The sequence below is a fragment of the Homo sapiens genome, chromosome 1 (assembly GCF_000001405.40).
Source record: "Homo sapiens chromosome 1, GRCh38.p14 Primary Assembly".
Classification (NCBI taxonomy): domain Eukaryota; kingdom Metazoa; phylum Chordata; class Mammalia; order Primates; family Hominidae; genus Homo; species Homo sapiens.
Genome location: NC_000001.11, coordinates 197,636,419 through 197,650,678, shown reverse-complemented (window position 1 = coordinate 197,650,678; position 14,260 = coordinate 197,636,419). Strand labels below are relative to the sequence as shown.

Genomic DNA, 14,260 nt, shown 5'->3' with positions numbered 1-14,260 from the left:
GTAGTATTCCATCATATATATATACTGCAGTTTCTTTATCCACTTGTTGATTACTGGGCATTTGGGTTGATTCCACGATTTTGCAGTTGTGAATTGTGCTGCTATAAACGTGTGTGTGCAAGTATGTTTTTCATGTAATGACTTTTTTCCTCTTGATAGATACCCAGTACTGGGATTGCTAGATCAGATGGTAGTTCTACTTTTAGTTCTTTAAGGAATCTCAACACTGTTTTTTCATAGTGGCTGTACTAGTTTGCATTCCCACCAGCAGTGTAGAAGTGTTCTTTGATCACCGCATCCAGGCCAACATCTACTATTGACGTGGGATGCGGTGATCAGGTGATCAGTTTAATATTTGTTTAGTAGATGTGTGAGGATCATATTTTGGGATACCTACATGTGTAAGAAGTTTTAAACATTGAATAATTATGTTTTATTGCTGTTTGCTAAATAATATGGTGGCTGATGTTTACAAAAGTATTTTGATTTTTTGATTATGGCCATTCTTGCAAAAGTAAGGTAGTATCACATTGTGGTTTTGAGTTGCATTTCCCTGATTCATTAGTGATGTTAAGCTTTTTTTTCATGTTTGTTGGCCATTTGAATATATTCTTTTGAGAAATGTCTATTCATGTCCTTAGCTCACTTTTTAATGGGATTGTTTATTTTTACTGATTTGTTTGAATTTATTGTAGATTCTGAACATCAGATGTATAGACTGTGAGATTTTCTCCCATTCTATGTGTTGTCTGTTTACTCTGCTTACTGTACCTTTTGCCCTGCAAAAGCTCTTTAGCTTAATTAAGTCCCAACTATTTATCTTTGTTTTCATTGCATTTGCTTTTGGTTTCTTGGTCATGAGATCCTTGCCTAAGCCAATGTCTAGAAGGGTTTTTCCAGTGTTTTATTCTAGAAGTTTTATAGTTTCAGATCTTAGATTTAAGTCCTTGATCAATCTTGAGTTGCTTTTTGTATAAGCTGAGAGATGAGGATCCAGTTTCATTCTCCTACATGTGGCTAGCCAATTATCCCAGCACCATTTGTTGAAAAGAGTGTCATTTCTCTGCTTTATGTTTTTGTTTGCTTTGTCGAAGATCAGTTGGCTGTTAGTATTTGGGTTTATTTCTGGGTTCTCTATTCTGTTCCATTGGTCCATGTGTCTTGAGCAAATTTCATCCTGTGATTTCATGTGATAGTAGTGTTCTCTTACATTATTCCATTCTTTAACCACTACTATTAGTAGTAGACTAAGGTGGTTAGCACCTTAGTTCTGGTGCTTAGTACTTCAAAGAGTTCTTAGTCTAGAGCCTCTCTCCTTCCAGTCATTTCTACAAAAGACTGTCAGATGAAAGTTACTTAAGCTATATAAAGTCCCCTGCTGAAAACCTTTCGTAGCTCCCCATTTTCTATAGAATTTGTTAAAACGTTGGCCAGGCTTTCAGGACCATCCATTTCTTAGATTCAATCCAACTTTTAATTTTCCTCCTCTATTCTGGTCACATTGTTTTGTTCAGCTTCTTGAATGAACATCATGCTTTCCTTTTGGACTAAAGCCTCTTTGTTGACTATGTGTTGTTAGTCTAGAACTTGCTCAGTCTTCAACTTTGTGAAACCTCTTGTCATACAACTTAATGCAGTGTTTTTTCTTTCCTGTGACCCTCTCTGCTGCTTTATGTTTGCATCTTCTTTTGTTGCACACTGTCAAAGTGGAAAGGTTTAATAGTCATTTGTAGACTGGGTGATAAAAAACTAAGGATAACCTGGAATTTTTAACCCAAATTTGGGAGTCAGCAGCAGACATCATTGTAGCTATTTAAAGGATAAAATATAGAAGAGCACAGAGCAGAGGCTAAGTTCTAATTGCCCAAATAGGCTATAGGGAAAAGGAAAGGAGATCCAGTGAAAGAATTGGGGGAAAGAGCAGTTAAGGAGAAACTTAGACTTGTAGGTCATTGATGCCCAAAGAATCCAAGGTTTATGGTCAGTGGAAATACAATAGAAAGACCAAGGGAAAGGTCAAGGAGAATAAAGAAGAGCCTGGGATTTTCCAAAAAATGGTAATTTCTCTTTGAAAGTGTTATATTTATAAAGTTATTCTAACACTCTTAAAGAGTTAAGGAAAATAAAGGTGCTAAGACAATGGAGGTGGCATTAATGAGAAATACAAATGTGTTCTCCCTTTAAATTTGAGTATCATATTTGCTCAGGGGTAAATAAATACAAAAGTACATCTCAAAAAAACCAGCTATTGAAACACTTCATCTTTATTAATAAGAACCATAAATTAAAGATTTCTACCCCTTTTTACCTAGGATTAGAAGATTTTGGGTTAAGTTACAGTCACTAAGTGTGTAATGTTAGTCAAGAAAGTTAATCTCTTTAGATGATCCTTTTTTTTCCATTTGAGAAATTGAGCATGTCAACTTTTGAGAAAGTTGTTTTGGTAATCAAATAAAATGATATATCTAGATATACTGTGAAGAGCTATTCAGGTGTTGGTTGGTAGCAAATTGAAGTTTCATCTCATATGGAGAAAATACTTTCTTCTGAAATAGCTAAATTGTAGCTGAAATAATCTTGTCAAAGGAATTTGAGTGGCTGTGTTCTGTTCCTATGTATAATAGTTATTTTCATAATTAAGCCTTCTTATACACACTTGAATTAATAGTCTTATAGTTTCAAGTCTTGTATACCTATTTTAAAGTTATAATATCTTTTTTTTTTTTTTTTTGAAGTGGAGTTTCGCTCTTGTTGCCCAGGTTGGAAAACAATGGCGTGATCTCAGCTCAGTGCAAACTCTGCCTCCAGTTTTGAGTGATTCTCCTGCCTTGGCCTCCTGAGTAGCTGGAATTACAGGCGCCCACCACCAAACCGGGCTAATTTTGTATTTTTAGTAGAGATGGGGTTTCACCATGCTGGTCAGGCTGGTCTCAAACTCCTGACCTCAGGTATTCTGCCCGCCTTGGCCTCCCAAAGTGCTGGGATTACAGGCGTGAGCCACTGCATCTGGCCTAGTTATAATATCTTAAGTATTGATAAAATCAGCTGTTAATGTTTGTTTACTATGAATTATTAATTGCATTTGATTTCAATAACAGACTCCTAAAGTACTGTATTTAGTGTTATACTGTTAAATAAGTGACAAATTTGGGACTAGGACACTTATCTTCAGCTACTAGAGGAGATTTTAGTTTTATGATGTAAGATTAAAATGGATGATTATGTAAGTTTTTGTTCCTGTACAAGTGGATAATGGCCATTAGTAATCAGAGATTTTTATAAAAAGTTAATGTCTAATGAGAATGCTTTTTTTTGAAACATTTCAAAATCGTCAAATATCCACAGCATTCTCTACTCTTGTAATATGAAAATACTTTCATTAGGATTTTTCTAGCATAAAATTAGCAAATCAGCATTTAAAATAATACTTATAATTAGTATTATTCAAGTATTTTTTAGTGGCTAACTTGGCTACATGGGTTTGTCTCAATTACACAGCAAATTGTTGTGTAAGCTTCTCCCATGAAAGTAAAATATTCATTTTTTTCTCTCATGTATTATAAGAACCAAGAGATATTTATTGCCTGTGAGCAAGTTCTGAAAGATCAGCCTGCTCTAGTACCGGTGAGTTAAAAGGACATTGGCTTCTAAAAATCACTATTAAATAGGAAAAATAATCACTTATTTCACTATGCCTTTAAGCTTCACTCCAGCCCTTTGGGAAATGGTGAATTTGACTCTTAAGAAAATTAATCATTTGGAATATATAATATTTTCTGTTTATACTATCTTTTAAAGCATAGTTTTATGAAATATAGTACTATTAAAAACTATTCCAAATAAAAGTAGGTTATAGAGACCGAAATCTTTGCATATTCTCCATTTTCAGTAGTAGTAATTTTAAAGTATATTCACAGCACAAGATTTGTCACATTTTTTGGTCCCAAGATCACAAAAGATCTTGTGATTTATCTCCTATTGTTCTTCTACCCTGGAAAATTATAGATTATGACTGTGTTAACTATCCTTGTTCTGACTAGTTCAACTGTGCTCAAATATTGGCTAAAATGTTTCTTTTCTAATCATTAATAATAAGATATTATTAAATATGTCCTTATGTGATTCAGATATTAAATAATTTTGGAGATTAATATGAACAGAAAATAAAACTTTTGATGATTAAATTGCACTTTGATTCTGGGTGGTAAAATTTGGGAACATTGTGGGAAACATGAAGGCATATATACACAATGTATTCTTTATGTAAGTATTCTGATGAACTGTTTTACTTCTTTGAACATTATAGAAGCTAATTAATATTTGGCAGATGTGTAACAATCATATTTTGGGATTACTACGTGTTTAAGAAATTTTAAACATTGAAAAATTATGCTTTATTGCTATTTGCTAAATAATAGGGTGGTTGATGTTTACAAAAGAGATTTCTTGTGACTTACCATAGAAACCCAGCCCAGGAATCTTAGTAGATTTTGATATATTTGGTTAGCAAGCTTTAATTTTTCCAGTCCACCTCAACTAAATGTGTTTTAATAATATATATGTTTATATGTATGTATAGGTGTGTATGTCTCTATATACTGTATATATACACATACGTGTATATGTATATATGTACAAAATAAACCTTTCAGCAATATACTCTTTTTTTGCCTTAACATTTTTTCCCTATTTTAATTTTAATTTTAGGGTCAAATATTTTTAACCAAGTCTTAACTTTTTGTATGGCAATGTAATTGTTAAATCTCATATAAACCCGCTAACTCATTTAAGAATCTCTCAAATTCAACAAATCCTGAATGTCAGTCCATGGCATTTTTTAATTTACTCAATATATTTTTTTCTGATTTTCATTACAAATTATATGTTACCAGTTTTAATTATCTTTTTCATATGTGATTTATTTGTATTGATTAGCATTCCTACTTCATTGCCCCTGATGTAACTGGACTCCCAACAATACCCGAGAGTGTAAGTTTCCTATTTTCTACTTTAATTATTCTTATATTATTAATTTTGTTTATTTTGGTCTCACTGTTTATGCGTTTTTATATAGAGAAATAGGATACATTGTAATTATCTGTGTTTGTGAGAAATAATGAAGAAATAAGAAATAAAGATATTATTTTCTTTTCTTCTTTATATATCTGCCCCTTTACCTTCTTCTTAATATCTGGTTGTGGATAAGGAAAATTAAGGACAATAATATAAGGAAAACTATTTCTATCATTTGTAGTAATTAGGTAGGATCATATATATATTCAATTAGGTCTTCAGCTTCACTGTATATGATAGAAGAGATACCTCAGGAGATGGCTTCTACTTGTGGAGAAGAATTCTAGCAATGGGAAATGTCTTCACACAAATCATTATTTTAGTGAAATTGACATAGTATTTTATATTCCTTGTATATAATGCTTCAAATCGTAGATGAACTGTTCTTAATTTCCTGATTTTAATTTAAAGCAATACATATCTTGCAAGGTTTGATGGCTATTGTAAGAAATTTTAAAAATTGCTAAAATTTTCATTTTATTTAGAGTCCTAATTCTAGCCATACTAGAACTATTTTCAGTATTTTAATAGTTATTACACATTAGTATTTTGTAGAAATGTTTACATAGACAAGTAGAAGTAACAAATATGCTTTTATGATTTTGGATAACTATGTGAAAATGAAGTATTCCCTTACGTAATTTTTCTTCAGCTTCCCTTGGAAAGTTAAAATGAATCAGTAGGAATAACTCAATCAAAAGTAAAGGAAAAATCAACAGGAAAAAAGTATTTCAATATATACTTATTATTTACTTTGGGATTCTAGTGTTTTTCCAAATGTTTTCAAACCTACTGAGTGTTTGGTTTCCAAAAGCATGTAGGTAGTGAAGGAAGTCCAAGAAGCCAATAGTAAATTTTCTGATACCAAACCAAGACTGTCGATGGTGTTTTCAGTACAGATGGATCCAAAAAACCCTTATGAAAAGCTTTGCATCAAGTTGCTCGTATGGGCCTGAGATAGATAATCAAAGCTCTCAGGTGACATAATGGATCCTAAAGTATTGACTGCTGTACACTGTAGGCCAGGTACTCCTTGTTAATGTTTTCTTTAAGGCTGACTGACCATGTCTTGACTTATATGACCCTTGTCCCTTCACTTCAGGGTTTCAAAGTCAAATTTGCTTCCGTCTACTCTCTCTCCTATTTACCTTTCTCTTATGTTTACTAACAAACAACTAATAACTTGATTTAACAAATGTCACATTTTAAAAAAGATGATTACTTTGAAAGTTTCAAGGAAACAAACATTCAAAGGAAAAACTGCCACTGAGAATATGTATTTTTACTTGTCTATTAACATGTTTTATTTTGCAGAAAGTCCTGTTTAGGGAAAAGAAAGCAAGAGAATAAGCATAAGGCAGCACTCTATGCTGAGAAATAATTCCCCATCTAAAAATTACCTTTCTTTTAGATTATAGGAAATATACTAATCTTGAATAACTTGAATTTTTATATGGAGAGTTGAATTGGAAGGTGAGAAAGCACGAAATAAACCTCTTCCCACCAAATTCAACATCACCCACTGATAGTTACAGGTTCTATTGATGTGCTCTATCATGATTACCAATTTGTGATGGTAAAGTTTCTATCTTCCGGAAATTGAAGAAGTAATTGGATTTCTTACATTCTTGCCTGACTAGAAGTTTTAGCCTACTAGGTCATAGCCCACCTGATGCTACAGTTTTTGTTTGTTATATCTTGTTGAATCCCTTAATTAGTTTGTTGCTTTCTGATGTATTTGTTTCATTATAGAAAATTAAAAATAAATAATAAGAAAGGAGAAGATCTAAAAGTCAAAGTTAATGTAGTAGCTTATCCCAGTTTCATTCTCATGTGGGGGATAAGAGTGCTAAATTAAGGAATCAATTTAGAACATCATCAAATTATATTTGATTATAGTGGATATAAAGCAAGCGTGACATGAAGTATAAACAAGGTAATTTCCTTAATAAAGTACCAAAGGGCTGTTTTATAAATTCACCTCATCCTTTGGGTACGTTGTGCATGCTGTGTCGTATCAGATGATGATTGTGCCTGCATAGTGAATGGCAAACATGAAAAGACTCAAATGTATTGTCTGGGGCAGCGGTTTCTGAAGGATCAGTGTATATAAGAATCACCAGAAGTATTTGTTTACAAAACAGATTCTTGGCCAGGTGTGGTGTCTCATGCCTGTAATCCCAGAACTTGGGAGGCCGAGGTGGGCAGATCATCTGAGGTCAGGAGTTCGAGACCAACCCGGCCAACATGGTGAAACCCCATCTCTCTACTAAAAATACAAAAATTAGCCGGATGTGGTGGCGTGCACCTGTAATCCTAGCTACTCTGGTGGCTGAAGCACGAAAATCACCTGAACCCGGGAGGCGGAGGTTGCAATGAGCCAAGATCTCACCACTGCACTCCAGCCTGGGTGACAAAAAAGAAAAAAAAAAAGCAGATTCTTGGGGACATACACTAAAGATGACAATTCAACAGAGCAGCTCTAGGTTGGGTCCCAGGAAATTAGCTTCTTTTCAAATACTTAGCGGGTAAGAAAGTTGGGAAATCTGTGATCTGATCATCCTCTGCAAATACTTACCTTGAGTAGGGTTATGTTTCAACTAATAATAGAATATTATGTACTTTATGTGGCAGCCGACTAGTATTACACTTAATTATTTTAATAAATACCATTTTAAATAATAATACCCTTTGAACTTCAAGACTTTCTGGTAAGTGTGTAAAATGTTTTTCTTCACATTCACTATGAGCTGTAACTTACACAATTATCTTTTACTTGTACAGAGAAATCTTACAGAATATTTTGTTGCCGTGGATGTGAACAACATGCTGCAGCTGTATGCCAGTATGCTGCATGAAAGGCGCATCGTGATTATCTCGAGCAAATTAAGCACTGTAAGTACTTCACACTTCTTTTAAGTAGCAGGTATTGAGTGTTTCACAAAAAGACCTAAAAACCTTTGCAGATTTAGAAATGTGCTATGTGTACTTATAAGACAATATCTACATACGTTTTTGATGTATGGTTTTAATCTGGCTCTTGAAGTACAAAAGTCTGATTTATAGGAAGCCTTCTCAGATGCATTAAGTCAGGTTAATTATTTTTTCTTATCAGGAGATGAGAGTTTTTTTTTCTTTTTAACTCTCCAGAGTTCATTTTAGTGCCTTCTACCATATAAAGAATTCTTAAGAGCTATTATGAGATTTTTATTATTCACTTGTGGCTTTTTCCATTGGAGCCACTTGAAAGAAATCAAGGGGCCATGATAATAGCTGCTATCCTAACCTGGTAATAGGTAGATTCATCTTTGTTGCCAAGTAGTGGTTTGGGAGTAGATTGTATAATAGTTTGATTTAGAGCAGCTCTTTGGGCTGATAATAACTTAAAAGTCAAAGTAGCATTTTTTATAAATCACAGGTTTTATGACATTCACTAAAATGTTCTTTTGGAAGGTCTTTATTAATATGGTAAAGGCAGGGAGAGAAAGATTTTTCTTGGGTCATAGAAAAATATTCAGAAGTATTTTGCTAGATTTTATAATTTTTTTCTCATTTAAGCTTCAAAAATTTAATATTTTCAACTTAAATTTTTAAATACAAATTTAAATATAGTTTTAGATAATCTATGATGTATTTATTTAGCAAAAACTATTATTCAATATTTTATGAATTTTCTTCCTCACAAATTTGATTAATTGATAAATAAAACCATATTTTTAATGTTTTCTTCTCCTATAGTAGAAATAAAAACCTTAATCTGTATTTTAGCATTTAAAGTAGAAGGAGTTTCAGGATTTCTGTAGGATATCTGTTTAACATTTAACAGTGAGAAAGGTATTTTCAGTGAGATTAAATGACCACTTCAAGGCCAAACAGCTAGTTAGAGACAGATAATGTGAAATTGAGTCTTTTGATTCTAATTTTTGGGTTATTTCCATTACTCTACAATTGAAAAAAATACATACAATTGTACATATAATTTGTATGAATTTATAATTCACGAAAATCTCAAAAATACGATTTTGAGATTTTGAATTGTAATTTGATATGCTCACTCCTAAAAGTTGAAAATGCACTTTACATATTGAAAAATATATGCATTTAAAAGAGTAAGGGTGGATAAATGATGCAGTAATATCAGAGAATAAGTGCTAGTCAATGACACAAGTAATTTTTTTCTTACACATCTTAGAGATGTCAAGAAATTCAGTTTGACTCATTTGATATTTTAATTTGCCTATCTGCTATTTTTTAACTTACTATTGAAGTGAAACATTCTTCTTCTTTCTCCCCAGCTCCTCCTCCTCATTTTTTAAACATGATTTTTTTTTAAGATTAAAAAGGATATTTTTAAATGGATATTGTCCTCAAAATTAAAAAGATTGTATAATAGGCTTTGGAACTAAATTTTATCAGGATTAATTCATGTAACAAATGTTTATTAGGCACATACTATGTGCCAGGCACTTTCTAGACATTAACCATATTCGACTGGCATGAAACAGTTTGTAAACAAGTGAGCAAACAAATAGCAATTATTTATTAGCTAGGGTTACATAATGGATAAAGTGAGTGGGTTTACAGGGTAGACAGTGATGGACAGGTTTCCATTTTATGTAAGGAAGGCCTCTCCAATGAGGTAGTATTTTGTTTGTTTGTTTTTTTGAGACAGGGTCTTGCTATGTTGCCCAGGCTGGTCTCAAACTCCTGGGCTCAATGGATCCTCCTGCCTTGGGTTTCCAAGTAGCTGGGACTATAGGCACACGCCGCTGTGCCCAACTCAGTGAGGTAGTATTTGAGCAGAGATCCAAAGAAAGTGAGGGAATAAGCTATGTGAGTGAAGCATAAGCTACTGTATTTGTGTATTAGAAATAAATCTGAGTATATGTTTTTGAAAAATATTGGTGTTTTATTTAATTTATATCCACCTCTTAATGACCAAGTAATCTGTTTGACTCAGTTTCTTTAAGTGTAGAGTAGGAGCAATAGTAGCCTTAATCTCATAGGGTTGATGTAAAGATTAAGGAAATACATATATATAAAGTGCTTAGAATGATATCTGCATAGAATATATGTTTAGTAATTATGAGCTATAATTTTATAATAGTTTATATTTAATTTTTTTTTTTTTTTGAGACAGAGTCTCACTTTGTTGCCCAGGCTAGAGTGCAGTGGTACAATCTTGGCTCACTCTAACCTCTGCCTTCCAGGTTCAAGATATTCTCCTACCTCAGCCTCCCAAGTAGCTAGGAGTACAGGCGCCTGCCACCACAACCAGCTAATTTTTGTATTTTTAGTAGAGACGGGGTTTCACTATGTTGGTCAGGCTGGTCTCGAACTCCTAACCTCAAGCAATCCACCCGTCTTGTCCTCCCAAAGTGCTGGGATTACAGGCGTGAGCCACCGCACCCGGCCTCTACATTTAATTTTATAATAGTCTACATCTGCAGTTAGAGTAAAAATTAACATTACTATCTTTTAACTTAGTATTTGGCTTTAAAAACAAATTGTTATCATAAAGGCTTAGTATTTTGGGGGAGTTGTTTTCTATGTTTGATGTCAATTTATTATCAACTGTTTATGACAATTCATGAAAACTTGATGGTGATGTCACCTCTAAGTTACCAGCTCTGTTTTGGTTCACTCTCTGGGACCGTTGGGCTGATAAAAGAAACATAATTCAAGTTCTCTTTCATGATCTTAGTCTTCTTTTATGGAGGAAGCTGCTTTACTTGAATCTGTCTTGAATAATTCTTTTATATATACAGTATATAAAATATATCTGCTATAAATTCCATGCATAGTGGCATTTAAGGTCAAGGACTCATTTCTTAACATAAATTAAAAGTAATTTATGTAAATTAAAAGTAAAATCAATGAATTTACTTGTTTTTAAGCTTTTTATACTCATATTTTTATATATCACGGAGACTATAATGTGTTTAATGTTCGAAATTAACGTTTTATCCATTTTTAATTTTTTAAGTATACAGCCCAACTCTTAATTTTTAGAGGAATATATGTAAAGGTGGCCTAACATTCATAATTCTATTGTAGTTTTAGAAATTTTGTCTCAGTTATTTACTTTTTGACAATCATGATTTTTCATAGTTATAAGAGAATGATAATTATAAACCTTACAGCTTGCTGTAGGTTTTAGTGGTGACACTCTCATTAGAGAATCAGCTAGCTTGAGGTTCCTTTTCTTTAGGTGCTGTTTGTGGTTAAAAATGATAATTTCTTGCCGGATGCAGTGGCTCACGCCTGTAATCCCAGCACTTTGGGAGGCCGAGGTGAGCAGATCACCTGAGGTCAGGAGTTCGAGACCAGCCTGGCCAACATAGCGAAACCCCATCTCTACTAAAAATACAAAAATTAGCCAGGCATGGTACCACGCACCTGTAGTCCCAGCTACTCGGGAGGCTGAGGCAAGAGAATCACTTGAACCCGGGAGACGGAGGTTGCAGTGAACCGAGATCACGCCATTGCACTCCAGCCTGGGTGACAGAGTGAGACTATGTCAAAAAAAAAAAAAATTAACCTTTAAAAGATGAAAAGTTTAAAATTAAAAAAATTAAGATATGTAAGCACAGATATCAAGAATATTGTTATGTTTTCAACATTCTAATAGGTTTTCTCCCTATATTTTAAAGTGTGGTATTGTGTTAGTACCTATTATTATATTTTTGCATGTTTGAGTTTAATGAATTGAGATATAATCAGTTTTTTTTTATTCTGTTGATTCATACATTATTCTGTTGATTTATACATTGTCAAGTACACATGGAACGGTTTCTGGTAATCCTGAACAAGAACATTGATTTTATCCATGCTGTAGGTAGGCCATAGATGTTTAAGCCCCAAGCGAATCTTGGTAGACTAGCAGAACATCATATTAGATTCTCGTGTATTCAAAGCAGAGGCATAAATCATGATATTACAAGGGGGTATCAGTTGACTTATTGCTGTTTTGTGACCATAGGTAGGTTGGATTGCTGTTTAAAGCCATGTCAGTGGTTCTCAAATCAGTCAGGCATGAAGCCTTGTCATATGCCTCTATAATTGTACCTCACCAGACTTTCTCTAACTATTCAGCTGGGGCTGTGCATTTTGTCTCAAACACCCGGCTGGCCAGCATCTGACAGGAGCTTTCTCATCATCCTGTCAGTAATATGTTAACTAGAGTGTATCTTTGTGGCCTGTAGAAGCAGGTGGAAGGGATGCTTCTTTTAAAAGCAGATGTCTGAATGTTAGCTATTATTTTGACCATTATTTAGTTAGTAAATTCACCCTCAGAAAGTCTATAAGCATATTAGTTACAGAGATTTGATTGTGTAGTGCATGTTGTTTTGGGGATATTTAGAGCAAGCAATATGTTATGAGTACTGGAATTACGTTAATAAACTGTAATTTCTTCCTTTGTTATAGTTGCCCCCAGGCATTTAAGCATATGCTTTTCTCTCCTCTCATTAATTCCATCAAGGGCATATGTAAAAAGAAATCTTTCGATCTCTGGAAAATCAGCTATTAAATATAGATTTTACAGGTTTAGTCAGACTGAAAGGCAGTCCAGAGGATTTTAACCTCTTCATCTGGATTATACATATTCTTGATTTGTCTCTTAATGGAGCCACCTGTGTCAGCATTTAATCTGAAACCCGAAGTGCAGAGACTCTTTCTGGAGATGAGGAATTGAACATTTGGTGAGAGAACAAAGATTACGTAGTCCTGCTTCCTAGTTAAGGTTATTAAAGTGTATTTTTGTGCCTCATGTTTTTAAAGCTGCAGCAGAGTGGTGCAGTTAAAAATTGTTATCATCTCTCAGGGAAAGATTCTAGAAGCAATTTTTAGATTTTTAATTCTTCCCCAAACCCGTAAGCAACCAGTTATGTCATCTGAAACTGAATAATTCTACTTACCAGTTTATCATTTCACCGGTACACAGCTATTCTGAACATTGTATTTTTAGTCAGTGCTAAGTGAATATGACTGGAGTGGGGAAATGGTACTGTTGAGGTCATCAGGAAGCAGTTTATTGGAAGGGATGTGTGAAGGTTATTTGGAGGAGACTTCTGTTACAGGAAAACTAGAGGTGTTTTTATCTTCCAACTCCTGTAGTGATAATGGCTCTGTTTTTCATGAAAATAAACACGTATTTCTGCCTTATGATTTAGTCCATTTGTGTTCTAAAAGTAAATAATTGGCTTTTAATTCACAATGAAGAATTTTTTAATTTAACAATTATGGAATTATCAAAGAGTTGTTATTAACTTGTCATTCCCCTAGGCTCTGTAAGCTTTGTTCCTGTATGATATCCACAGAAATGACCTTGGATGATTTCAGTTTACCAAGCATTTTTTTTTCTTTTTTCTTATCCTTATAGCTTACAGACAGTGATAATGTTAGTATTTTTTATATGGAACAGTGACAATTTTGTGCTGATAGTGTAATCAACATTAAATAAAAGAAAATAATGTATGTGTTGGTTTTGTTTCTTTAATAAAACTATTGAGGGCAGTGTGTTTATTTTAAAATGTACCTTCTATATTTATATGTTTTCACATACTATAATTTTTTTTTTCATTTTACAGTTAGGCAAGTTTTTCTCTTCCAGTGAGCTTTCTTATAGTGCAGTTTAGCTCATTGTTGACATCCCATTCAATACCGCCAAAATGCAACTCGCCATCTTTTCCCCATAGTCTCCTTCTCCTACTATAAAGGGCTAATTTGGTGAATCACTCCTCCCTCTCATCTGTTTTCCCCACCTACATCCTATAGGTTCTACCTCCTTAATCTTTTCTTCTCCGATTCCTGTTCTTCAACTGCCCACTGTCTTAGTTCAGCAGTTACTACTTCCCACAGATATTATTTTCAGATCATATATACTGAATTCACTTACATAAAATGATGATGTTATTAATAATTATAGCCAATATATAATATAGGGCATGCTTTGCGCTACTTACCCTACTGAGAAATTTATTTAAACTAACTCATTTAATTATTATGTATTATGTGGTAGGTACAGTTGTTATCCACGGTAGACAGATGAAAATGTGGATTTTGAAATTGAGAGGGAGTAAGTTGATCAAGGCCATAGTACTAGGAATTGGTTTAACCAGTTCTGTATGATTCCAAAGTATATGCTTACAACCTTTATGCAATTTTGCCTCTTACAATGACCATC

General features: G+C 33.5%; 1 protein-coding gene across 16 annotated transcripts in view; it reads left to right on the top strand.

Moving 5' to 3' along the window:
* Positions 1–14,260, top strand: part of DENND1B (DENN domain containing 1B) — a 277,403-nt gene that overhangs the window by 131,472 nt on the left and 131,671 nt on the right. For 8 of the 16 annotated variants that reach the window (XM_011509248.3, XM_047447711.1, NM_001195215.2 and 5 more), the window contains 3 exons: positions 3,565–3,624; positions 4,936–4,989; positions 7,858–7,968. In XM_011509248.3, the coding sequence (XP_011507550.1) occupies positions 3,565–3,624; positions 4,936–4,989; positions 7,858–7,968 (225 nt within the window). The remainder of the gene's footprint in view (positions 1–3,564; positions 3,625–4,935; positions 4,990–7,857; positions 7,969–14,260) is intronic. The other 8 variants (NR_125340.2, XM_005244931.3, XM_024453626.2 and 5 more) reach the window with 1 other exon arrangement.